Genomic DNA, 24,841 nt, shown 5'->3' on the forward strand with positions numbered 1-24,841 from the left:
GATTCCCTATTTAATAAATGGTGCTGGGAAAACTGGCTAGCCATATGTAGAAAGCTAAAACTGGATCCCTTCCTTACACCTTATACAAAAATTAATTCAAGATGGATTAAAGACTTAAATGTTAGACCTAAAACCATAAAAACCCTAGAAGAAAACCTAGGCATTACCATTCAGGACATAGGCATGGGCAAGGACTTCATGTCTAAAACACCAAAAGCAATGGCAACAAAAGCCAAAATTGACAAATGGGATCTAATTAAACTCAAGAGCTTCTGCACAGCAAAAGAAACTACCATCAGAGTGAACAGGCAACCTACAGAATGGGAGAGAATTTTTGCAATCTACTCATCTGACAAAGGTTTAGACTTTCATCAGAAATGCTTAGTTAGCTTAGTTGTTCCTCTAGAACAGCAATCAACTAACTATGGCCCACAGGCCGTATCTGGCCCACCATCTGCTTTCATAAGTAACTTTTAATAGAACATGGCCACGCTCGTTTGTTTACATATTGCCTATGTAACTGCTTTTGCACTATAATGGCAGAGCTGAACAGTTCCAAAAGAGGTCCACAAAGCCTAAAATATTTACTATCTGGCTCTTTATTAAAAACAAATTAAAAATTCAAAAAAAGCCTGACCCCTGCTCTAGGACAAGTCTCCAGAAGTGGCTTTGGCTCAACATAAAAGAGAAAAAAATGAACTACTATCTTGCAAAATAGAGCTGTGATGAACTCCTATAGAAGATTCAAGTCTGAGTCTGCCTAGGCAGCTGTTAGGAATGTAGGCAGAACAAAAATAGTGTAGTCCTTTGATGACGTCCCTAAGATGAGGCAAGGACTGGAAGGAAGCCACACGGGCACAAGATGCAAATGTCATCTAAAGCAGCTCTGCCAGGAGAGGGCTGTGAGTTCTTGCAGACATCTGATCATTTTCCCTTTTCCTAGCTTACCCTCCACTTTACTGTGATACAGCAAAACAGTTCTAGTTACCTCTTATGAAGAGACTGCATGAACATAAATGACTACAGCAATGGTTTAGATTTAGGACTTTTATTTTTTTCACACCCAAGTTAGCCTGAGTTGACTCTCATTGTTCCCCTATCTACCCACAGTCCCCATCCAACACGAAGAAATATTTGCTTTCACATTACAGCATAAAGACCACCTAAGCTTTGACAGCTGACTTGTAGTGGGTCAGCGTGCGGGCAGAAGGGTCAGTGGCATTGATCCACTTGGGCATCCAGTAATGGCTCAGCCAGTCAGCCCGGCCTGGGTAATGGCGTTCAAAGACTTGACGGTAGTAATATCCTTCTTTGGTTTTAGGAGTATTGAAGGGAAATTTCTGGGCTGCATTTGCCATCATTGCATCATCAACCTGTAAGAATAAGCATATAAGAGCAAAATGGCTTAAAATGGCAGGAAATACTTGTGTTTAGTCTCATTTCACGAAACAGAAAATGTTAAGACGTGACTGTAACTTGTATGAGACCCTTTGAATCACCCATCACTTAGAAAATGCTAAAGTATTCATAATATGGATAGCTGCAGTGCCTTTTAAAGAACACTCATATGCATATTTTTAATACTTGGTGGCTCTGTTTTAGTCATTTGTGCCTAACAAGATCTGGCACCCAGCAGGTGCCCAAAAATCTGATAAATGAAAATCAGTGATGATTAGTAGTAAGTCTCCTCTCTCTCTCGATTCTAGATGCTACTTTATAATCCTTCATGCTACTTAATTCTTACGTAATTCTTACAAAAGAGATAATTGTTTACAGAGACTCTGAATCTCTCTGATAGGGACATCCTATCAGAGAGATATCTGATGTATGTATCATTCAAACTAAATACATGTATCATTCAAACTAAATACATGTATCATTCAAACTAAATACAAAATGAACAGCAATGACAGCTCTGCATCCAAACTGTCTTATTCCTGAAAATGTTTTTAAAGACATTATACCTGATGTTCAACGTATTCCTGTAAAATCTTAAACCAGGAATTCTTAACTGAAGTTATTCCATCACTGAAGGCTTCTTTTGGTCGCCAGAGAATCTCTTTGGGTATCAGATTGGAATCCTCAAACGTCTCTCTCAGGAGATGTTTTTCTATCCCATTCTGACGTGACAAAAAAAGGAGCATCAGGTAAAAATTACAAATATAATCTGATGGCAATGGACAGTTTTACCTTGAGTTGATTTACCTACCTTTGGAATTCTCATTTCTGGTGGCAGAGACAAGTAATAGGAAGAAAATCGATGATCTAGAAATGGGACTCTCAGTTCAAGACTTAAAGGAGAAAAGAAGAAAATCTAAATTAAAATGGGTATTTAGTGCCTGCCAGGTTAGGTTCTGATTCAGTTTCCCATCAATTCAACCAGATCTTAAGAAATGTTAAGGTCATACAGTCACATACAAGCCTCCTAATGACTGCCCTACACTAATGAATAGATACAAAAAATAAATCTTCATTTAAAATAATACATATATCATGTCATCTAGGGAGTAAAACTAACTGAGACTATTACTTTTACTTTCCCTTCTAGGAATAGTTAAATGCATATTTCAAAAAGCAGAAAAAGTTACAAAACATGAGTGACCCAATCATTAAGAAAATACCTTGCCTAGACCTAACTCAGTGTTTACTAGGTGAGACCATCTCTTCTAACAATTGTGATGACGATACAGTATTTTTTTGCCACTGATTAAAAATTCACATACAATATGCGATATAAACCAGTGTCCCACTATATTTCATCAAATTCCAAATCACCGGTTTCCTGAAGCCTAGTGACTCTAGTTAGGACAAGCAGAGAGGATAATGACCAGATTCAGTTCATTCCTCAAACCCATATTTAATTATATCCTTATCTAGGTGTGATTCAGCAGAGGCAACTAAGACATTTAATGTCAGTTGTTTATCCTGTACAGTAAAAGTCTTCAGTTCTTCAACATAACTTTAGACAACTAGAAATGATAACCAAAGAAACCTGGTTCTTTATAATGTAATCAAACCCCTTGTATCTTCACTACTCTATTCCCTCAGGGTCACTACAGCACCACATGGGCATGGTGGGCACTCACTACTTGTCACATGATGTTTACGATCTTTACTTCTCTTTAAAACACTTAACGGTAGCTGCTGTAGCAGCCTTGCCTCTTCCATCTTGGTTGTTCAGATGTGAGCAGAATGTTGTTACCCTTTAAAGGTGAAAACTCCACCTCAAACAACCTATGGAAGAAGACTTCTCTCCATATACCACAACACCACTTTGAAATGTGGCCTAATCCTTTTGGGACAAAGTTAAGAAACAGCTTCATTTTCTCTATAAAAGTCACACTTTGTAACATATAGCCAACTATATGTAACATATAGCCAATCAGCTATTGATTTTTATTTTCTCAGGGTATTGAGCTTTTTGTTTTGTTTTGTTTTTGGTGTTTTTTTGTTTTTGTTTTACAATAGCCTCTAAAAATATTACCCATGGGCAGCAGTAGTTCGATCTGCGCGGAGAACATCAAACAAATAGAGTTCCCTCAGAAGCCTCTCACTCTCCTCCTCGGCTTTTTCAGGAGAAGGAGCCTATTTCACAAACAAAAACACCAAGAGTTTTGCTTTTGGCACACAAAGCAGTTTTTCTTTCTCCCTCTCCAATCCTAAAGGTGGATAAGACAAAAAGTTAAACAAATTTAGGGAAGGGAGTAAATAACTGAACAGAGGTAAGCAATGCTTCACAAAACATGCCTTCCTTCCTACCAAACTGCTAATATTAGAATAAAATGAACACAATGGGCAACAGTCATAATTCCACAGGATGCTAAGAAATGGCAGAAAGGGGATTCTCAAGCTTAAGTAGTTTTATTTATTTATTTTTAACTTTTTTTTTTTTTTTTTTAAGAGACGGGGTCTTACTCTGTCAACCAGGCAGGAGTGCAGTGGTGCAATCACAGCTCACTGCAGCCTCAATCTCCTGGGTTCAGGTGATCCTCCCACCTCAGCCTCCTCAGCAGCTGGGGGTATGAGCATGAGCCCTCATACCCAGCTGTAACTAGTTTTAAAGAATAAAAATTATCTGACACATTAAAATTTCTTTCTTCCCCAAGAGATAGAAAGCAAACACTATCAGATTCCCTTTTGTAACCTCACAAGATACTCAAAAATATCACTGTCATACTGAAAGATGATAGAAAATAGTCAAACAATTCATACTTTTCTTAATATAGCATGAATATCCCTCCACTTCAGAGTGGTTACCTTGTGAAAATATATGTAACCCTGCGTAAGTTCATCTGATCCTTCTCCAGAGAAGATCACCACGCTATCTGTGTTCTTCCGAATATACTTGGAAATTAAATACATACCTTAAATGAGAGAGAGAAATTAACTTTAATGTCAACATAACCTTCCACCAAAAATGCCTTTGATTTGATTTTTGGAAATAATTGAAAGCTTTACTACTATACTGGACTTCATATTAATATAAAGTAGTTTCCACAATAATGACCTTGTATTTATAAGCCATTTATATGTACTTAATCCAAAAGTACTACTGTAAAATAAAATAACCCGGAACCATTTTGTCATTTTCTAAACAGGTTTTAAAATTCTAATGTTTTTAGACCAAGAATGTCCACCTCAAAACTTTGCTAAGCTGAACAATGACTCAAATACCTAAAAATCATGCCTTTCATAGTGGTATTATGACACAAAAATAAGAATAACCGTTTTGGTGGTTTAGTGTTAATTTTGATGGGTATTTTCCCCCTGCCACTCCCCATTTACCAGATTTCACATAAAGCTGGGGAGACTATATAAGTTATTAAACTTGCCTCCTTGGTCCTGCACCACATCTCTCTAAACCAGTGTTTCTTCTCAACCTTGTTTTTATTATCACCTCAGCTAGAGAGCCTTTTTAGACACTTATTTTCCTAACCTCACCCCAGCCCCATGAAATTCCAATACCAGAGCTATCCTGTCTATCTGCTTATTTACTGTGATGTTTTGGAGGGCCATAAACCATTGTAATACCTAAGATATTTTTGCCTTCCAAGGCAAGTCTCTCAAGGGAGGCAGTAGCATATAAAGGCTCAATAACACTGGATCAGTCTGATTTGGGGTATACTTCCAATCTCAGTAGATACATTATCTACAAGATAAAATTAGTATTGTTTGCAGAGCAATGATAGCTAGTGACTGGTAAGTTGTGTGATGGAATATATCTAAAATGACTATTTCTTATCAAAAATGCATTACCAAAAAGACCTATTTCCTCACTGTATATAGACTGTAGCCCAAGAAACTATAAGAGAAATGGGAGGTAGAGGGCAGAAAATATGTATCTGCTCCCTGGGGAAACACCAACAGTGACACCAACAATGTGGAGGTTGAACTACGTATTTACTATTCCCTTCACTCCAAAAGAGATTCAGAGAATTCTTAAGTGGTCTTAAATAATCAGTAACATAGGGATTTAATTTGCATTCATCCTTAAATAACATTTTAAAACTATGGCTTGAAATAATTTTTTTAAACCTTACATTTTTTTCAGTATTAAAAAAAGCTTTTTATTTAAGAATATCATAATACCTTACCTACTGAAGCACGAACTGTTGTAATGTCATAAGTTTCCAAGGAAAATATGACTTCATCCAGAGCCTGAATGCCTTCCTCAGAGTTAAAAAGGACTTCATAATGTTCACTTCCAATATGATCTGCCACCTTATTATATAAAGAAATACCCATTTACTTGTTAAAGAAAATAACTTCCCTTGAAAATCAAACATGATGGGAGTTCACAAAGCTTTATGAATTAACAATGGTGAAAACTAAACAAGGGAAAAAAAGAAAAATGACTTTACAGCCCACCACATACAAGCCCCATCCAGCACTGTTCCCTCGCCTGCTTCAACTCCACCACCAGGAAGTAAGTCTCCCCTCAGCTCCTCTGGTGCCAAGGCTTCAACCATTCTCCCAGTTGGCACCTCCCTCTCTACCTATTTTACCTAACCCACCTCATCTCTCTCTAGTCCAACATGGTCCCACGCTAAGCTTGGTCTTTTTTGGTCCTTCTTAAATGCCTAATTTTATATCCAGGATGTTATTCTTATATAGAATGGCCCTTCCCCTCATTCTGCTTTCCTTGGCTATTTTGGATTCTCTCGGCATTGATTACCTTGCACTGAGACTGCTCTCTAGCTTTTTCTCATCCATGCTACGAAAGTCCTCCATAGTGGGAACTAGGTCTCCCGCTCACTGAATACAGACAAGCTGCCCTCTGCCCACAGTATTCTAAATACAGTACTTTCAAAAATAATAATAACAGCTAACACTCATTAAGTACTTACTACATGCTAAGTTCTACCCTACTTACTTTACATGAATTATATCATTTCACCTTAAAATTTCCCCATAGCAGACACTATTATTTTGGTTACATAAATGAGTAGAGCCAGGATTTCAAACCACAAGTCAGGTTCCAAAGTCTGCAGTCTTAGCCATGATACTATGCCTTTACGTTTAAAAAAAAAAAAAAAAAAAAACGAACAAAAAACCCGTTTTTTTAATTTTTCAAGATGGGGTCTTGCTACGTTGCCCAGCCTGGACTTGAACTCCTGAGCTCAGACCTCCCCCCACAGCCTCCCAAGTATCTGGGACTATAGGTGTGTGCCACTGCACCTGACTTATGCCTTTACTTTCTTTTTTTTTTGAGACAAGGTCTCACTCTGTCACCCAGGCTCCCATAAGGCTAAGACTACAGGCATGCGTCACCAAGCCTGGCTAGTTTTTGTATTTTTTTGTAGAGATGGAGTTTCATTATGTTGCTCAGGCTGGTTTCAAACTCCTGACCTCAGGTAATCTACCTCCCTCAGCCTCGTAAAGTGCTGGGATTACAGGTGTAGGCCACCATGCCCAGACACCTTTACTTTCAAAAGAGCATACTTATCATCATAGGGTCTTTGTGAGAATTGCATGGGTCATAACAGATAAAAGTACACAGAGGACAGTGTACAACACAGTGCATATCCAACAGCCATTTCATTCTATTTTAATACAATCAATTTAAAACAATTGACCCAGTCAATACAGCAGCAGTAGAATCACCCATTATTGACTCCATTTTCATTCTAATAACAAGTCTACTCTAACTACACTACACAAGGGACAGAGACAGCACCTTACCTTTCTAGCAGCCAGTAAATCGGGGCTGTCTTCCATGCCAATTGCAAATGTCTGGAGAGGATACTGTACTTGGGCTTCTTTCAGCTGCTTCAACAGAGTGGCAGCAACCAAGCTGGAGTCCAAGCCCCCTACATGCAAAAGAGGAAGTGGAAGTGTCCTAGTTATGTGCCTTGCATAAGACAGGGACAGAAGATGTATATTCCTGATAAACACCAAGATCATAGTTTTACTATTTAAAATCCGCCAAGTTTTATAAACTGAAATCAACTTCAACAAGAGAAAAATATATAAACTGTGATAATAGTAGTATTTGAATTGGTTAAAAATCACTACACAGAATTCTAAAGAACATTCACTGACTCACTCTTAACACCAATAACATAGCTATAGTGTAACTCAAGTTGGAGTATGACTATGACTATTAAATACAGCTTATAAAAAATCATTTCCATCCTATAATGAAGGAAAGAGTAAATCATACAGTAAATATTTTATAGTAAAAACCAAAGGGATGGCTACAAATCATTTCAATTAAACACACATGAAATATAATTAGGTTTTTTTAATTGACTTCACCTGATAAAAGGCAGCCAATCCTTCTGTCTGTCATCAAACGTTTCTTTACAGCATTATTAAAAAGGATCCTGAGGTTGTTCTTCACAGTTTCTATCTCAAAACCTATAAACACAGCAGTAAATCAAACAGCTCCAGAAAATCTTGGGCTGGATTAGTTATTGAAATGAAATACACAATCATCAACATCTATCATGATGGTATTTACTCAATGGTGGAGTGTGCCAAATCTTAATGTGTTCCCTCCAAACAAAATAGGAAGTAGGTCTTGAAACTAAAATCATTCAAATGATGGGAGAATACAACTTAAAATTTTTTTCCCTTGGAGAAGGATGGGGAATAGGTGGGTGGGTGTCTGCTACCTGGAAAGAGTTTCTCCACATTGTCATAGAGGGCGTGCAGGGGTACATCCCGACAGTGATGATATTTAACCATTTCCACGGATGCAACTTTGCCATTTGGCTTTAAATCCAAAACTTCATAGTGTCCAGGAAGAAAAGGCTCCACTTTTAAAAAGGGAGTCGCGGAGTGCTTCAATGTAACAAGACCTAGAAATTCACAATGATACCTTTATTCAAATTAGGTAACCCTTCCCAATAACTTTCACGATTAGTTAACATCATCTACATTCCTATTTTCCCTTTTTAATACAAACACATACCCATTAAATAAGCAAAATAGGAAAAAAAATTTTCTATTTTCCTAAGCCCTACCATCTACTTACCTGAGAGACAATAATGGCACAGGGATATACTGCCAAATTACACTAACTTTTCGTAATTCAAAGAAATAGAAAAATCTCCAGTGTTCAATTTCTTCTTCTTAGATTTCTAATCAAGAAAACCTATTTTCTATACTAAAGCAAATACACAAAAGGAAAAGACACACTTATGAAGCAAAGGGATGAACTGGAGTCCTAATGTTATGATAGGCTGGGAGTCATTTATTTGTCATCACTGAGGTATTTTCAGAACACAGCCATGGTTCCCAGACCTTTAACAAGTACAATGATCCACTTTTACCTACTTTAAAGTCAGATAAGAAGACATCTATCCCTTAACTAGTTGTTATACACTATATGTGAATAAAACCATATAACTTAAATTTCCTCAATAAATTCTCACAGACAGTACAGTACCCAACCTCTCATCACCATGATCTTTGATACAAACATCAATGTTTTATTGTAGATCGTAATGGACTATCTACATGGAATACTCGTGATTTACAATTTGAGATTGTCTACCCAGCCAGTAACCTGTGTAGCACTGAATTCAAATACCAGAAAAAGGACCCAGATTCCCTCACCAGCCAGCAGAGCTCAAGTGAGCTACACAACCCGGATAGGGAATGGGGAGTAATTAAAAGGTTTTAAGCAGGCAATACTATAATCAGATGAGATTTTGACAGGTTATTCTAAAAGCACTGAGAAAAGAAAATTGTTGCAGTATTCCAGATGAGATAATTTGGTCTGGAAAAGGACAGTGTCAAGGATATAGAAAAGAACAATTAAGGAATTTCAGAGGGTAAGTTCCATATCAAGTGATCATCAGGCTCAAAGAAGGCCCAGGGGAGCAGGAGGCTGCTTTTCCCCAGTGTTCTCTTTACCAGGCTTTCCCAGCAGTCCTGGCAACTGACATATATATATGCTTGTTCTTTGCCATCTGATCACACTAGAAATGCCTGAAAATAAGCCAGTTCCAGTATTAGTACAAACACTGTGACTAGTGTCCTAAGGACCCCTTTGATTGATCTCATTATCCCTGCTTCAGCCAATATTAAATCTGAAAATTAAGTGAGAAAGAATTTAAAGAATGGCAAAAAGAGGCAGGGAGAGAGATATTAGGATGTTACTGCTGCACAGGTAAGGGATAAAAGATAAATGTCTTCCTCAAGTTTACCATCAAAAAGTGCTATGCATGATTTGCAAGTATTTTCTTCCAACTTGTGGGCCGTCTTTTCACTTTCTTGATGGTGTCCTTTGATGTGCAAAAATGTTTAATTTTGATGAAGTCCAATTCATTGATTTTTATTATTGTTGCTGGTCTCATATTTAAGAAAGCTTTGCCAAATCCAGGGTCATGACAATTTACTTCTATGTTTGCTTCTCGGGATTTTATAGTTTTAGCCCTTACATTTAAGTGGATTAGTTCAAAACTGATTCATTTGATCCTTTTTTTTTTTTTTTTTGAGATGAGTCTCGCTCTGTCACTCAGGCTGGAGTGCAGTTGCGCGATCTCGGCTTACCGCAAGCTCCGTCTCCCGGGTTCACGCCATTCTCCTGCCTCAGCCTCCTGAGTAGCTGGGACTACAGGCGCCCGCCACCACGCCCGGCTAATTTTTAGTAGAGACGGGGTTTCACTGTGTTAGCCAGGATGGTCTCGATCTCCTGACCTCGTGATCCACCCGCCTCGGCCTCCCAAAGTGCTGGGATTACAGGCATAAGCCATCGCGCCTGGCCTGATCCATTTTTCTGTATCCATAATTTTTGTATACGATGTTGGGTAAAGATTCAACTCCAAGTTTTGCATATGGTTACATATCTGGTTGCCCCTGTGCCAGTTTTCAAACTTCTTTCTCCACTGAATAATCTTGGCACCCTTGTCAAAAATAAGTTGATCATATATGTATGGGTTCATTTCTGACTCTCAATTCTATCCCACTAGTCTATACATCTATCCTTCTGTCAGTATTATATTGTCCTTATTACCATTGTCTTGTAGTAAGTTTTAAAATCAGTTAATATGAGGTCTCCTACTTTGTTCTTCATTTTCAAAAGATTGTTTTGGCTATTCTTAGTCTCTTGCAATTCCATATGAATTTGAGAGTCAGCTTGTAGATTTCACAAAGAACTCATCTGGGATTCTGATAGGGATCAAGTTAAATCTGTAAATCAGTTTAGGGAGGACTGCCATCTTAACAATGTTAAGCCTTCAAATCATGATCATGGGATACTTTTCCATTTATTTAGATCTCCTCTCATTTCTTTCAACAACATTTTATAGTTTTCAGAGTACAAGTTTTACACTTCTTAAATTTATTTCTAAGTATTTTATTCTTTTTGATGCTATTATAAATGAAGTTGCTTTCTTAATTTCATTTTGATTGCTCATTTTAAGTATGTAGTATTCAGTTAAAGTGTGTCAAATACCATTGATTTTTGTATATTCATCTTGTATCCTGCAACCCTGATGAACAGAAGGGATTTGTATCTAGAATACATAAGGAACTATTACAATTCAGTAATAAAAAGACAAAATAACTCAATTAGAAATGGGTAATTCAAGAATGGATAAACAAATTGCATTGCATGCAAACAAATGGAATATTATTCAGCAAGCACACCAACATGGCACATGTATACATATGTAACAAACCTGCACGTTATGCACATGTACCCTAGAACTTAAAGTATAATAATAATAATAATAAATGAGCTATCAAGCCATGAAAAAACACAGAAGAACTATAAATGTATACTGCTAGGTGAAAGAAGCCAGTCTGAAAAAGCTACATACTATATGATTACAACTATTATACGACATTCTGGGAAAGGCAAAGTGAGAGAGAAAGCAAAAAGATCAGTAATGACTGGGGGGTTAGGAGGAAGAGGACGGGAGGAAAGAATAAGTGGAGCACAGGAGATTTTTAGGGCAATGAAACTGTTCTACATAATACTGTAATGGTGGGTACATGGCATTAAACATTTGTCAAATCCAAAAATCTATAAAACACAAAGAGTGAACCCTTATGTAAACTATGAACTTCAGTTAATATATAAGTATCAGTTCATCAAATCTAATAAATGTAGCACAGTAATGCAAGATGTTAAGAGTGGGGAAAACTGGGCAGGGGCACTGTAGGGGGAGCATATGTGAACTCTCTGCACTTTCCTCTCAATTTTTTCTAAAACTGCTCAAAAAAAAAAATAAAGTCTATTATGTTTTTAAAATAAAATGATCCCTAACAGGAAAAAAAAATGGCAAAGGATCTGAACAAATATTTCTCCAAAGAAGATATACAAATGGCCAATAAGCATAAGATAAGATGCTGGACATCACTGTCAACAGGAAAATACAAATCAAAATCACAATGAGATACCACTTCACATACACTAGAATGGCTAGAATTAAAGTCACACACTGTTTGTGAAGATGTGGAGAAACAGAAATTTTAATACACTGCTGGAGTGAATAAAAAATGATGCAGCCATTTCAAAAATTAGTCTGGCAGTTCTTCAACTGAACATAGTTATCATGTGTCCCAGCAATTCTACTCCTAGATATACACCCAAGGGAAATGTCCACACAAAAACTTGTACACCAATGTTTATAGCAGCATTATTCATAATAGCCAAAAGGGGTAAATAATGTCCTAAATGTCCATCAACTGACAAGCGAATAAACAAAATGCAGTGTATCCATGTAATGGAATATCATTTGGCCATAAGAAGTAAGTACTGATACATGCTACGGCATAGACAAATCTTGAAAGCACTATACCAAGTGAAAGAATCCAGTCACAAAAGCCGGTATGATATATAATCCCGTTCATATGAAACATACAGAATAGGGAATCCAGAGGCAGAAAGACTGGTGATTGCCGGGGCTACAACTGCAGGGGTGCAGCTGATGGATATGGAGAGATGGAATTCAAAGCTAAAGGGCACAGGAGGCAGGGTGTTGTGGTGCATGCCTATACTCCTAGCTACTAGGGAGGCTGAGGTGGGAGAATCGCTTGAGCCCACGAGTTCAAGGCTGCACTGAGCTATCAAACCACCGCACTCCAGCCTGGGCTGGGCGACTGAGCAAGACCCCATCTCTTCAAACAAACAAACAAACAAAAACCTAGTTGATCCTGCCAGCAAAAACTAAGGTAAAGGGCATAGGATTTGATTTGGTTTTTTTTGAGGTGGAAAAACAATCCTAAAACTGATTGGAGTGTTGTTTACCAACATCTGTGAATATACTAAAAACCACTGAACTGTATACTTCAAGTGGGTGAATTACATGGTATGTGAATTATCAATAAAGCTGTTTTAGAAATCCTAACACTTGCTGTGCTATAACTGCGCAAAGTACCACAATGCAATAATTGCAGAGTCAACCCTACGATTATAGTATGACACAGGAAAACTTAAAACTGCACTTAAGATCAAGCTAGATGTAGAGCATATTAGCACAGCAAAAAATAAACGACTGCACTAAAGAATCATCCTTCAAGGATTACAGAATTTAAGTGCTGAAAAGGAGAGTACAACTCCTCTGTTTTTTTAAAAAAAGGTAAAGACTCATAACTTAGTCACTTGTAAAATTCTGGATTGCTCTCTAAGAGATTTTCAAATATAATTTAAAAGAAAACGTACAACCAAGACAATAATGAAAATCTATAGAAAAATTTATTATTACCTTTAGCTTCTGAACATACAGCCAAAAATCCATCTTCTGTCATTGCTTTAAACAAAGGTCTGACTCCATATGTATCTCTACCCAGGAACACTTTCTTATTGGCAGTATCCAGTAAAACAAATGCAAACACACCATCCAACATACAAATTGTTTGCTCAATTCCTCCTTTGTCATAAAGATGAAGGATTATCTCACCATCCACTTTGGTCTGGTATTCAAATTCAAAATGCTGTTGCATCTTAGGAAGCGAAAGCAAAACCAAAATGTTAGACTCCTTGTACATTCACTAATAATTTTTTATTGCAAAGATGCTTCAGTATTTCTGAGCTCTATAATCCTTTCATGCACTTTGGTGATTTAGGAGAATCACAGCATTATTAAACTATGGTTCGCTTCAACTCATATTCTGCAAATTCTGTTCAACATAAAGCCGAACCCATGAAAATTTTAGTTGCAGTCTGATAAACAGAACATAATGGGAATGTGCCAGAACAGTAACCTGTGGAGGGATGGAAATGTATATTATATACATACCATATATGTAATACATACATATATTTATATATATACAGATTGAGTATCCCTTATCTGAAATGTTTGGAACCAGAAGTGTTTTGTGTTTTGGACTTTGGAATATTTGCATATATGTGAGATATCTTGGGCATGAGACCCAAGTCTAAACATGAACTTCATTTATGTTTCATATATCTTATACACAAAACCTAAAGGTAATTTTATATAATATTTCAAATAATTTTGTGCATGAAACAAAGTTTGCATACATGGAACCATCAGAAAGCAAAGGGGTCACTATCTCAGCTACCATGTGGAAAATCTGTGGCTGTTTGACATCATTGACCATCATTCCTGACTCTGAATTTATTATGCTGCTGATGAGCAATCATTTTCATATGCTTATAAAATATGACATACCATTAATACAGTAAGAAAGTAATAAGTAGCATAGTAGAATCACCAGAATACCTGCATCAGCTGTTAAACAGCTGTACAAACAATGGCAGGCTTTCAGACTCCACCTACAATGCTGCGTTTTGATTAAAAGGTTACTATACACTGTATTTTTTTTTCCTTTTTCAGGTGAGAAGAAACATCAGAAGCAGCTGAGCAACTAGGAAGCGGGTCCTCTGAGATTGAAGAGGCATTCGGCCAGATGACTTTTAAATGTTTCTCCAGAGTCATCTGCTTCATTAACAATGGCTTTTGTCTTGGAAGGCTCTCTTTGATTTTATAAACTGACATGACCTCTTGTTCTGTTATGAATGCAGGTAGCTCTAGTCCTTCAATATCTCTATCACACATTTTCACCATGTCATCTATACCTTTATACTACAGTCCAGTTTCTCCTACAGCTTGACTTTCTGTGTTATAAGTGTTTCTACTTTTCCTTATCACTGCTGCTCATAGAAATATCTACAGGTCTTTTTGACATTTTCAGTATCTTAACACCACAGAGCAGAAAATAAGCAAAAATACACAATGGATAATGCACATAAGTCCCATCTGTGGGGATCCTGCCAATGGCGTATCCAGCTTGAACATGTGCCATTCTATTACCCTTTGTGGGCGTGCTTGCATGGGGAAATCCGGGCATGTGTAGAAAAGTTATACTGCAGCTGAAGCGGGCTGAGAGGGTCTTTTTTCCCTAGGGAACGCCAAATAAACTGCGTGTTTTACACCTGCATTTTGACTGTGACATCAAAATGCACATGTAATGTCATGTCAGTGCTCAAAAAGTTTCAGATTTTGGAGCATTTCAAATTTCAGATTTTCAGATTAGGGATGCTCAACCTCTAAATTTAAGTTAAGATAATAGGTTGCCTGGTTGCCATGACACTAAAAAACGTGTCTTTTGCAACTATAAACTTTTGATTTGAGAAGATAGTATTGGCTAAGAAGTTCCTCCAGTTCAGCTTCAAAGTCCTAGCTATAAAAATGTAAAGCAAAGGGACAAACATCATTTGGCATCATTCCCTGAAAAATAAATGGCTCCATCACAATAACAGATACATGATCCAAAACAAAGCTGCTGGTCCCCAGGGGTGGATGACAATGCCCAGTGCTTCCACCACTGCAGCAGCATTAAAGCTACTCCTTACTGATAGATAAAATGACGGTGGCGCTTTATTAGTCTGCATTCCCCAAAAGAACAGCAAAGGGACTGTCTGCCACTGCATGCAGAGTAAGAAGGTTTGATTAGGCTACTCCCCAATTCTGACACTCTCCACCATCAACGGCAAACTATGAGCCATTAATGGCAAACTATGAGGATGAAAAGTCCTTGATGTATTCCTCTTTCTTCTTTGTACTCGGGTTTTTGGCTGACATTAGAGAAAGAAGAGGTTTAAATCAGGTGGAAATCCTAGATAAGCTTAAAACATGCTTTCAAATTTCAAAAAGTAAACCTATTATGTATGTGCATGACCCATAAATATGCTTCACACTCCATCCAACTCACTCCATAATTTGTGAATCTTTTGTCTATAAGTCCTCACTGAACTGTCCAAAAATGGGCTTTGCCTCCAGTGACTACAAAGTCACTACCTGGTCACCCCTCTCTGCTCTATCAGGGATGATCTGTAACTAGCAGGTGGGGGCCTGTAAACAGTCTTCTGCTGACTCTTCTGGGCTGAACTGCCTGAAGGGTTAGTGACCATAAAGCATTCGGTGATATTAGTAAGCAACAGCTTCCCAAATCTACCTTACCCACCTCTTTGGCCTAAACTTTGCAGGTAACTTATTTAAAAAGGAGAAGGGTCCTTTGGGTAACGGATGTATTACTTCCTACTCTCCTAAAACCAAACTCCAATGCTGCACCTTAAATAAAAGCCCTCAAATCTTGCCTCCTGACGTCATGCTGTCATTTGACTTGGCTGCAGGCCCTGATACTCCCCTGCAGGGAGAGGGCCTGCTCTTTGCCCCAGCCTTTACCCCATTCCTCCTTTCTTTCATTCAGTCTCCTTCTACTCCCAGTACACCTCTGGCTGTATTTTATTGTAGTGGTAAACTTTATTTTTACCAAAAAGGAGGTGTGGGGGGGATTTCTGAATACTTTATATAAGCCTAAAGTATACATTCTGCTCATTAGACAGACTGCTAGCTGCCCCAACTACATAAACTTAGATGCTTGGTAGAAGCAATGGAACAAACTTCTCTACTTTTACAAATATAACATTTGGCTAATTTAGAATAGAAATTAATTATTTTCAAAATATTTAACTTCTTGTAACTTTTTAATAAAAGAAATAACACTGTTCAAGTGAAACAGGGCACTTCCTATTTCATTTAAGGGGAAAGCCAAGCTGATAATGCCATAATACCACCTAGCGTTCTCATGTATATGACATTATTTGACTTAGAAAAAATTTTTAATACTCTCTTCTTCTACCTCCCACTAGCAGGAAATTCCATTCTTGCCTTTCCTTTTCACCATTTCATCTCCAATCACCTAGAAAAATGATGTCTGGTGCATAGTAGACCCTTAATAAAGGAATAAAGAAATGTGTAAAAGGAATTTCCTGAATAACTATTTTAAAACTTTTTAAATGAGAAGACTATTATTAAGAGTCTTCCTATGAGCAGGCAACAAACAATGACAAAAGCTATTGTTCACAGATAAAAATGTCCAAAATGTGATTAGGATGTAAATCTCTATCAATGCCTGACAGGTATCTATCAAGAAGTCTCAAAAAATACCAAGAAACATACCAACCAAATGCATGAACCTTGAATGAAATCTGGCTCAAAACAAACAAGAACCAGCTATAAAGATATTCTTGGTAGCACTTTGAGAGGTCAAGGTGGGCAGATTACCTGAGCTCAGGAGTTCCAGACCACCCTGGGCAACATGGTGAAACCCTGTCTTTACTAAAATACAAAAAATTAGCTGGGCATGGTGGCAGGTGCCTGTAGTCCCAGCTACTTGGGAGGCTGAGGCAGGAGAATTGCTTGAACCTGGGAGGCAGAGGTTGCAGTAAGCCGAGATCGCACCACTGCACTCCAGCCTGGGTGACAGAATGAGACTCTGTCTCAAAATAAATAAATAAATAAAAATATTCTTGGGACACTTAGGGAAATTTCATTTAAGTATTAACTGGATATTAGGTGGTATTATGGACTCTTAGGTTTAATAATGGCATTGATGTTATGTAGAAGAATGTCCTTATTCTTAGGAGATAAATGCTTATATATTTAGGAGTGTCATAATATCTGCACTGTACTCTCAAATGATTCAGCAAAAACATGTGTGTGTGTGTGTGTGTGTGTGTAGAAAGAAAAATCAAGCAACTATGGCAAAACATTAATGACTATTTAATCTAGGTGCTTGTTGTTCTGTTCTTTACTGTATGTTAGGAATTTTTTCAAAATGAAAAGCTGGGGAGAAGGAGAAAAAATTCTAAGAGTCAATGAAACTGAACTGTAATCCCCATTTTTATCACTTTTTTTGTGACCAAGTCATTTCACTCACCTTTTTATTCATCAGTTCCCTATTTACATACTTAGAGCAAATGAGATAACGAACATAGAGTGCTTTGCAAAGGAAAAAGCATGATACAGAATATGTAACATCATCGTAACCAACAAACTCTGAAGTTTAATCGCATCCAGACATCTGGTTTCTTTCTCCTCACCTTCTTATGGTTGTAGATTTCACCATTGTAACAGAGCCACAAATACGGATATTTCTTCACTCGAATTGGCTGCATTCCAAACAGCGGGTCAACTACCGCCAACCGGTGAAATCCAAAGCAGCAGTTGGTGTATCCATTGACATTCTCAAAACGGAATGCATCTGGACCTCTGTGTGCAATCTTCATAGCACTCAGACACTGAACAGAAAGGCAATCATCACTGCCAAACAGCGCCCAAATGCCACACATGGTGCAATGAAGCTATAAGCTTTCTATGGAGAGAAAAGCAGACAAATCAAAAATATTCAATATCCAATCCAACTCTGCATTAAATCTTGATTCCGGAAACGTGCATAAACCACTTCAAAGACTAAAATTTAAACCATCTTTTCTATAGCGATTTCCCATTAGGTTGGCAGGCACATGGGAGTAGAGAATGATTTAATTTACTTACAGGTATTCGGAAAAGATAGTGACCTCTACATTCAACCGGCTACAGCAGCTTAGCACCTAGCCAAAGCCTGCATCTCTCCCACCTTAGGATTTAGTGGTTGGCTAGAGCTGACAGCGTCCATGCCACATCTGTCTCTGCATTCTAAGTTTGCTTCCAAGATACAGATACAAATGCAGGCTGGCTCCAACCTAGCCAGAGATCCTAGCCCCACTCTCACCATCCCAAAATCCCTCAAAGATCCAACAGACTTTCCAGATTACTAGAGTCTCCTCTCAGGTTCCCTTGACAGTTAAATGCCCTCTTTATCTGAACTAGCTGCAGGTACCATATAATGGGTACAACAGAAAATCATACTGCTGTAAGTGTAAAAGATACGCAGCTCTTTCAAGCATTTCACTATATTACATCTAGGTTACCTTCAAGTGATTTATTCAGATGTGATTGAAGAAAATCTAAAGGGAAAAAAAAAACAATTTAATTTGATATCAGATATCCTGGCTTTATAACAAATAAAACATTTCAAGTTAATAGAAGATACAAAATATTCACTATCAAAATGTCCTCACTGACAAAAATGTTCTCAAATATTTCTGTCTCAAAGTTGCATTGTTCAGTAAGGAAGCAAAGTAGGTGAGACATATACACCAACAACATCCCTAATAAAAAACTTAGCTCATCCCTATAAGCCCGGAAGCAAATAAATCACCCTTACATACGTTAATTACTTTCCAATTTCAAATTCTCAACTGTGAAATAAAGGGCTGTTTTATTTGGCTGCTGCCAGCTCAAAATGACACATTGCACCATGTGTGGCATTTGGGCCCTGTTTGGCAGTGATGACTGCCTTTCTGTTCAGTGTCTGAGTGCTACGAAGATTGTACACAGAGGTCCAGATACATTCCGTTTTGAGAATGTCAATGGATACACCAAAAACAAGATGTTTTAATTAAAACATCTCTAACTTGAAAAATAACTATTTTGGTGTTTTTTTTAAAAAAACTGCGAATTGCAGCAAATGCCCAAATAGTTTGGGATAAACACCCTAAGGAAAAAATATACATTCAAGTTGCATAAGTCACTTTGAGCTATTCTTTGATGATATTTCATTTATATCTAAAAGAACCAAAGGTTTAGCTGGCTTTTCCGGAAAACCAGAACCAAATAATATATGGTTAGAATGAAAATCATCTCAAGCAATTTGGAAATGAAGTACCACATGTCCTATGCTGTCTCTTCCATGCACTTGACCAAATAGCCCAAATAGCCTATAACAAATTATTTGAGATTTACTGGAAAAATTCCATAAGATTTAAATGAGATGACTACTAATAAGCCATCTGCCTTTGACTCTATATCAATTTAAAACGGGTTAGGAAAGTGCTTTGAAAATCAAGTATGGTCATCAGGGAATCAGTTACCTAAGTCTTCTTAACGCTGCTTAGTGAATCCCTGTATTAATCCTGCTATAATAAATACATTCTAACCACTAAACTGGAGGGGAAAAAGGGAGAACAAAGAGGCATGTAAAGTACACTTATTTTTTCTAGTAGGAAAAAGCCAATTAAAACTATAACCTATTATTTTTATTGGAATCAGTCTTATAGGAGGGCAAAGTTCCTACTGCCGCTACCTGTTCTCAATATTTTTCTTATTTCTTCCTAAACTTCTAGAACAGTGCTGTCCAATAAATATATATGTAAGCCACATATGTAATTTTAAATATACTAGTAGCCCCATTAAAAGAAAAAGGTGAAATTAATTTTAAATAAACTTAACTCAGTATGTCCCAAATAGTAACATTTTAACATATATGTAATCAATATAAAATATTATCGAGCAGATATTTTACACTGTTCTTCCTACTCCAACGACAAAATCCAGTGTATTTAACACAATACATCTCAGTTAGGACTAGCCAGCACTTCAAGTGCTCAACAGTTACAGGTGGCTAGCGCCTACCGAACTGGACATGGCAGTTTCAGTGCATTTAATTTCTATTCCACTTAGTGCTACTTACAACTTCACCCTCTCCCTTTACTTTTATATTAAGATCTCAGTAAGTAACCAACTACAGACAGGTTCAAGCCCTACTTTACCTCTAATTACTCTTACAGCAATGCTATGAATCATGATTTAAAATTTAAAAAAAAAAACTGCTGTTAAATTATTAGTCAAGCGCCCAGGGCAATGGACAGTAAAGAAATAATGTAGGCCACGGGCCGAGATGAAAACTGTCCTTTTTATTTAAAGCTATAACAATCATCTGAAGCCAGCCCTGCAAAATGACAGCCATTGAAAAAGGCATGCTAGTTCTTTTGCCTTTTTCTGTACTTGGTCGCCTGTGTCCCTAAACAGACCTCTTCTCGGCAGGGTTTGCTCAGCAAGTCACTTGATGAGTCTTGCAGTCTACAGAGACAGGTGGGGACTGGTGGGGATGGCGGGGTGAGAGGGGAGGAGGAGGGTGAGCGGTCCAGGTGAGGAGGGGGGCAGTTGAAGGTGAAAGCAGACACCGAGACGGTGATAAGGCCGCAGTCTCTTCCTAGATCAGGACCACGCGACACCTGACTGCGCCCTGGCCACGAGCACGATCCGACCCGTCCGCCGCAGGGACCCGGACCGCGAAAATGTCCACAGGCTTCGACGCCACATAGTAAAAAAAAGTACACATATAACATTTACAGGGGCTCAAACTGCCGCTGCCTCCTCTCCGGAGCGGTCCGGCCTGCCGGCCGCGGTTCCCTCTCGATGCTTCAGGGAACCAGGACAGAAAGGTCCTTCCGCTAGCTGTCAGGTGCGTAACAATCGCTAGGCGTCCGCCCCGCCCTCCCTACCGCAGGAGCCGCAGCATCAGCAGGCGCCCGCGAACCGCGTCTGCCGGGTGCCAGGCTGAAGACCGCATCCTCCACCCCTTCCTTCCGGAGCAGCCCCAGGGCACGCGAGGAGGATGCTGGCGCGGGGCGCAGGGCACGGGGCGCAGGACCCGGCTCACCTGGGCGTAAGCAGGTCAGGGTGATGTGGCGGGCTGAGGCCAGGGATGTGGACAGCTTGACGGGCGGCGAGGCCGCTGGCGCTTATACCGACCTGGCTCCTGTAACGCGTGCGGGAAGTTTCATCATGCCTGCGAGGACCAACCAGCGCGCACAGGGGCGGGGCCGCGGGGTGTCCGGGGCGGAGCAGGACTAAGTGGGGCGGCGGAAGGGCGCAAGGAGGAGCTCTTTTGTTTCCAGCGCCTTGCGTCTCAGTGCGCCTGTTTAAGGATAGCCTCAGAGCTCCGCCCAGGCTACCTGCTGTTCTGACAATTAGGGAGGCTTCTGAACTTGGTTTGTTCTTCGGGAAATCATCACCGTTTTTTTGTTGCACTGCCGTCTGATTTATTATGCAGTGCAGAGAAAAGCTTGTCCTAAGAAACTGATGCGTGAGGCCTAAAATGTCCTTATAAGATCTATTAATAAATCGGGGCCAGGAGCGGTGGCTCACGCCTGTAATCCCAACACTTTGGGAAGCCAAGGCAAGAGGATCACTTGAAACCAGGAGTTCAAGACCAGCCTGGGAAACACAGCGAGATCACATCTCTATAAAAATTGGTGGCACACCATGGTAGTCCCAGCAACTCAGGAGGCTGAGGCAGAAGGATAGTTTGAGCCCAGGCGTTTGAGGCTGAGGTGAGCTCAACTCCAGCCTGGGCGACAAAGGGAGACCCCCATCTCTAAAACAATAAAATCTAAATCTAATTGATACATGAAGCCAAAATACATCAGTGGTCCTTAAACATTTTAAGTACAAAGATTCCTTTTAGAATCTCAAAAAGGATTTTGTCAACTTGCCTCCACAAGATGATTATGTGCTTTTAAGTATCTCTTTGATGAAGAAAAGACATCACGATTTTTAAAAAGTATCATAACACTCTTAAATCGTATTTTACTAATTACATCAGCACCGAAATAAATTGAGAAATAGTAAAATTATATGTGCACGACCTACTAAGATCAGACTACAGTCAATGCTTGGAGAGCATGCAGGTTTGATATCCCCATACAACGCATTCCTGACTAAATCAAAAACGTCAACAATTTAAAATCCCTAAGAACAGAAGATGGAGTAGTCGCTTAGTAGTTACAGGCAAGAGCAAAGATGAGAGATGACTTGTTCTAAGGTTCATTGTTGCTGGAAAGTTTTCAGTATCAAACAGACTTTGCTGTATCCTAATTGACGTACTTTAAACCTGAGAGCAATGTGGGAAAGTAGGTCTTCTATCTACATTTTACAAATGAAAAAATAAGACTCAGAAAAGTTGAGGGATTTATCCAAACACAGCTTCACAACAGTAGAGAACTGAGTCATAATCTGTGTAAACCCAGAGCCCATTTCCCGTAGCATCTTGCCTATGTAGTGAAAGACAGGTTCCCCTGCTTGGTGTGTTACCTAGTGTGCTTCCTTGTGCTGCGTATCTCCTGCTTGTCCGTCCAGAGCTCTACACTTCTCCACCTCACTTTCTATCCTGGCTCCCTTGCCCTCCTCTTTCAGGGAGAGTGTGCAAAGGCAGACATTTCAAGGAGATGCAAAAGGTGAAATTAAAATTGCTAATGAAGTTTTGGCACCATTGTCATTGATAACATCTTATCAGGAGACAGGGTTTTGAGATCAACCGGTCTGACCAAAGTTTATTAGGTGGGAATTTTCTCTTCCTAATAAGCCTGGGAGTGCTATGGGAGACTGGAGTTTATTTCACCTCTGCAGTCTCGACCATAAGAGACAGGTACGCCCCGGGGGGCCAGTTTAGAGACCTACCCCTAGGTGCGCATTCTCTTTCTCAGGGACGTTCCATGCTGAGAAAAGGAATTCAGCGATATTTCTCCCATTTGCTTTTGAAAGAAGAGAAATATGGTTCTGTTCTGCCTGGCTCACCGGCGGTCAGAGTTTAAGGTTATCTCTCTTATTCCCTGAACAATTGCTGTTATCCTGTTCTTTTTTCAGGGTGCCCACATTTCATATTGCTCAAACACACATGCTGTATAATTTGTGTACTTAACGCAATTATTACAGGTCCTGAGACGATATACATCCTTCTCGGCTGACAGGATTAAGAGATTAAAGTAATGACAGGCATAGGAAATCACAAGGGTATTGATTAGGGAAGTGATAAGTTTAGTCCATGAAATCTTTACAATTTATGTTTAGAGATTGCAGTGAAGGCAGGCATAAGAAATTACAAAAGTATTAATTTGGGGAACTAATAAATGTCCATAAAATCTTCATAATCCACGTTCTTCTGTCATGGCTTCAGCTGGTCCCTCCGTTTGGGGTCCCTGACTTCCCGCAACACAGCACAGTGCCTGGCACAAAAGAGTTGCTCAATAAATACATCAGGATGAATAGATAAATACACGGATAGGCACTTTGAACTACAGATGAGCTTAAATACTTTGTGTTTTTCTTAGTCAAACATGTGCAATTAAGCATGTGATAAATGTTATGATGACCACACGTGTGTCTTGCCTGATGTTCTTTGCAATCACTAAATGAAGTCAATTGTGCCTGTTTTGACAGTTCTATTTTCAACCTAATGATCTGTTTATTTTAACTTCTGGCTGTTGGCTTTGTTTGGGTTTGTTAGCCTGACGAAGTGGTAGATATTGGTATTTGCTCTTTTGTTTAAATGTCACGAACTTTAAAAATGCCTTTGCTTTTGGGAAGAAACCCTAGTTAGGACACCCTAGCGGTCAGGATGATTTGGGTTCTGGTGCAGTAACGACAATCCCCAAATCTCAGTGGCTCCATGCAGTGAGGTATTTGTTTGTTTTTGAGACAGGGTCTCACTCTGTCACCCAGACTAGAGTGCAGTGGTGCAATCTCAGCTCACTGCAACCTCTGCCTCCCAGACTCAAGTGATTCTCCTGCCTCCTGAGTAGCTGGGATTACAGGCCCATGCCACCACTGTCTGGCTAATTTTTGTACTTAGTAGAGACAGGATTTCACCATGTTAGCCAGGCTGGTCTTGAACTCCTGACCTCAAATGATCCACCCGCCTTGGCCTCCCAAAGTTCTGGGATGACAGGCATGAGCCACCATGCCTGGCCACAGTGAGGCTTATTCTTGGTCACGTTGCATGTCTGGGCTGTGTTAGGGCATTGTGTGGTGGTCTGTTCATTGTGTTCACTCAGGGATCCAGGCTGACAAAAGCCCCATCTCTGCATGTGTCCTTGATCACCCTTCAGGGGAAACGGAATGTGGTGGATCATAGAGCCTCTTAACACTTCCACCTGGAGGTGACTCAAGTTGCTGCTGCTGCTCATGGTTCATTGGACAAAACGGATCACAGAGTCATGAGCAACTTCTCTGTGCTTGGAAGGGGAAACAAATTTGAATAGCCACATTGATTTTCCCTAGATATTACACAGAAGGCCTCATTTAAACACAGTTACTTATTTGTGTTTTGAAGCTAATTGTAGTCCATCAACCTTCACAGAAGACATGTGCACTTCCAAGCTATTATTAGGCAATTTTTTTTTTTTTGAGACAGAGTCTTACTCTCTTGCCCAGGCTGGAGTGCAGTGGCATGATCATGGATCGCTGCA

The 24,841-nt window shown here is 39.1% G+C and overlaps 1 protein-coding gene and 1 long non-coding RNA gene across 8 annotated transcripts in view, besides 3 other annotated features; both read right to left on the minus strand.

The window, feature by feature from the left end:
* ASNS (asparagine synthetase (glutamine-hydrolyzing)) overlaps positions 582–24,841 on the minus strand; it is a 76,765-nt gene continuing 52,505 nt past the window's right edge. Inside the window, exons 1-14 of one of the 7 annotated variants that reach the window (NM_183356.4) lie at positions 21,256–21,313; positions 20,624–20,901; positions 18,683–18,718; positions 17,813–18,084; positions 13,164–13,401; positions 8,118–8,303; positions 7,759–7,860; positions 7,183–7,310; positions 5,595–5,721; positions 4,258–4,364; positions 3,485–3,585; positions 2,210–2,291; positions 1,965–2,120; positions 582–1,373 (exon numbers count right to left, since the gene is read on the minus strand). In NM_183356.4, the coding sequence (NP_899199.2) occupies positions 1,164–1,373; positions 1,965–2,120; positions 2,210–2,291; positions 3,485–3,585; positions 4,258–4,364; positions 5,595–5,721; positions 7,183–7,310; positions 7,759–7,860; positions 8,118–8,303; positions 13,164–13,401; positions 17,813–18,061 (1,686 nt within the window). In that variant the 5' untranslated portion in view covers positions 18,062–18,084; positions 18,683–18,718; positions 20,624–20,901; positions 21,256–21,313 and the 3' untranslated portion in view covers positions 582–1,163. Of the gene's footprint in view, positions 1,374–1,964; positions 2,121–2,209; positions 2,292–3,484; positions 3,586–4,257; positions 4,365–5,594; positions 5,722–7,182; positions 7,311–7,758; positions 7,861–8,117; positions 8,304–13,163; positions 13,402–17,812; positions 18,085–18,682; positions 18,719–20,623; positions 21,071–21,255; positions 21,355–24,841 lie in introns of those variants that run through there. The other 6 variants (NM_001352496.2, NM_001178075.2, NM_001673.5 and 3 more) reach the window with 6 other exon arrangements.
* CZ1P-ASNS (CZ1P-ASNS readthrough) overlaps positions 1,022–24,841 on the minus strand; it is a 120,242-nt gene continuing 96,422 nt past the window's right edge. Inside the window, exons 8-19 of the long non-coding RNA NR_147989.1 lie at positions 18,683–18,718; positions 17,813–18,084; positions 13,164–13,401; positions 8,118–8,303; positions 7,759–7,860; positions 7,183–7,310; positions 5,595–5,721; positions 4,258–4,364; positions 3,485–3,659; positions 2,210–2,291; positions 1,965–2,120; positions 1,022–1,373 (exon numbers count right to left, since the gene is read on the minus strand). This is a non-coding gene — a long non-coding RNA (CZ1P-ASNS readthrough). The remainder of the gene's footprint in view (positions 1,374–1,964; positions 2,121–2,209; positions 2,292–3,484; positions 3,660–4,257; positions 4,365–5,594; positions 5,722–7,182; positions 7,311–7,758; positions 7,861–8,117; positions 8,304–13,163; positions 13,402–17,812; positions 18,085–18,682; positions 18,719–24,841) is intronic.
* Positions 21,035–21,144: a silencer, noted in NCBI's record as "silent region_18386". NCBI's record gives its function as "represses an Ori minimal core promoter by ATAC-STARR-seq in GM12878 lymphoblastoid cells {active_cell/tissue: GM12878}" and the evidence as "EXISTENCE:reporter gene assay evidence [ECO:0000049][PMID:35858748]".
* Positions 21,194–21,909: an enhancer, noted in NCBI's record as "NANOG-H3K27ac-H3K4me1 hESC enhancer chr7:97501601-97502316 (GRCh37/hg19 assembly coordinates)". NCBI's record gives its function as "activates a minimal SCP1, AML or CMV promoter by ChIP-STARR-seq in primed H9 embryonic stem cells {active_cell/tissue: H9 hESC(primed)}" and the evidence as "EXISTENCE:reporter gene assay evidence [ECO:0000049][PMID:30033119]".
* Positions 21,455–21,544: a silencer, noted in NCBI's record as "silent region_18387". NCBI's record gives its function as "represses an Ori minimal core promoter by ATAC-STARR-seq in GM12878 lymphoblastoid cells {active_cell/tissue: GM12878}" and the evidence as "EXISTENCE:reporter gene assay evidence [ECO:0000049][PMID:35858748]".

This window comes from Homo sapiens, chromosome 7, assembly GCF_000001405.40.
Source record: "Homo sapiens chromosome 7, GRCh38.p14 Primary Assembly".
NCBI lineage: Eukaryota > Metazoa > Chordata > Mammalia > Primates > Hominidae > Homo > Homo sapiens.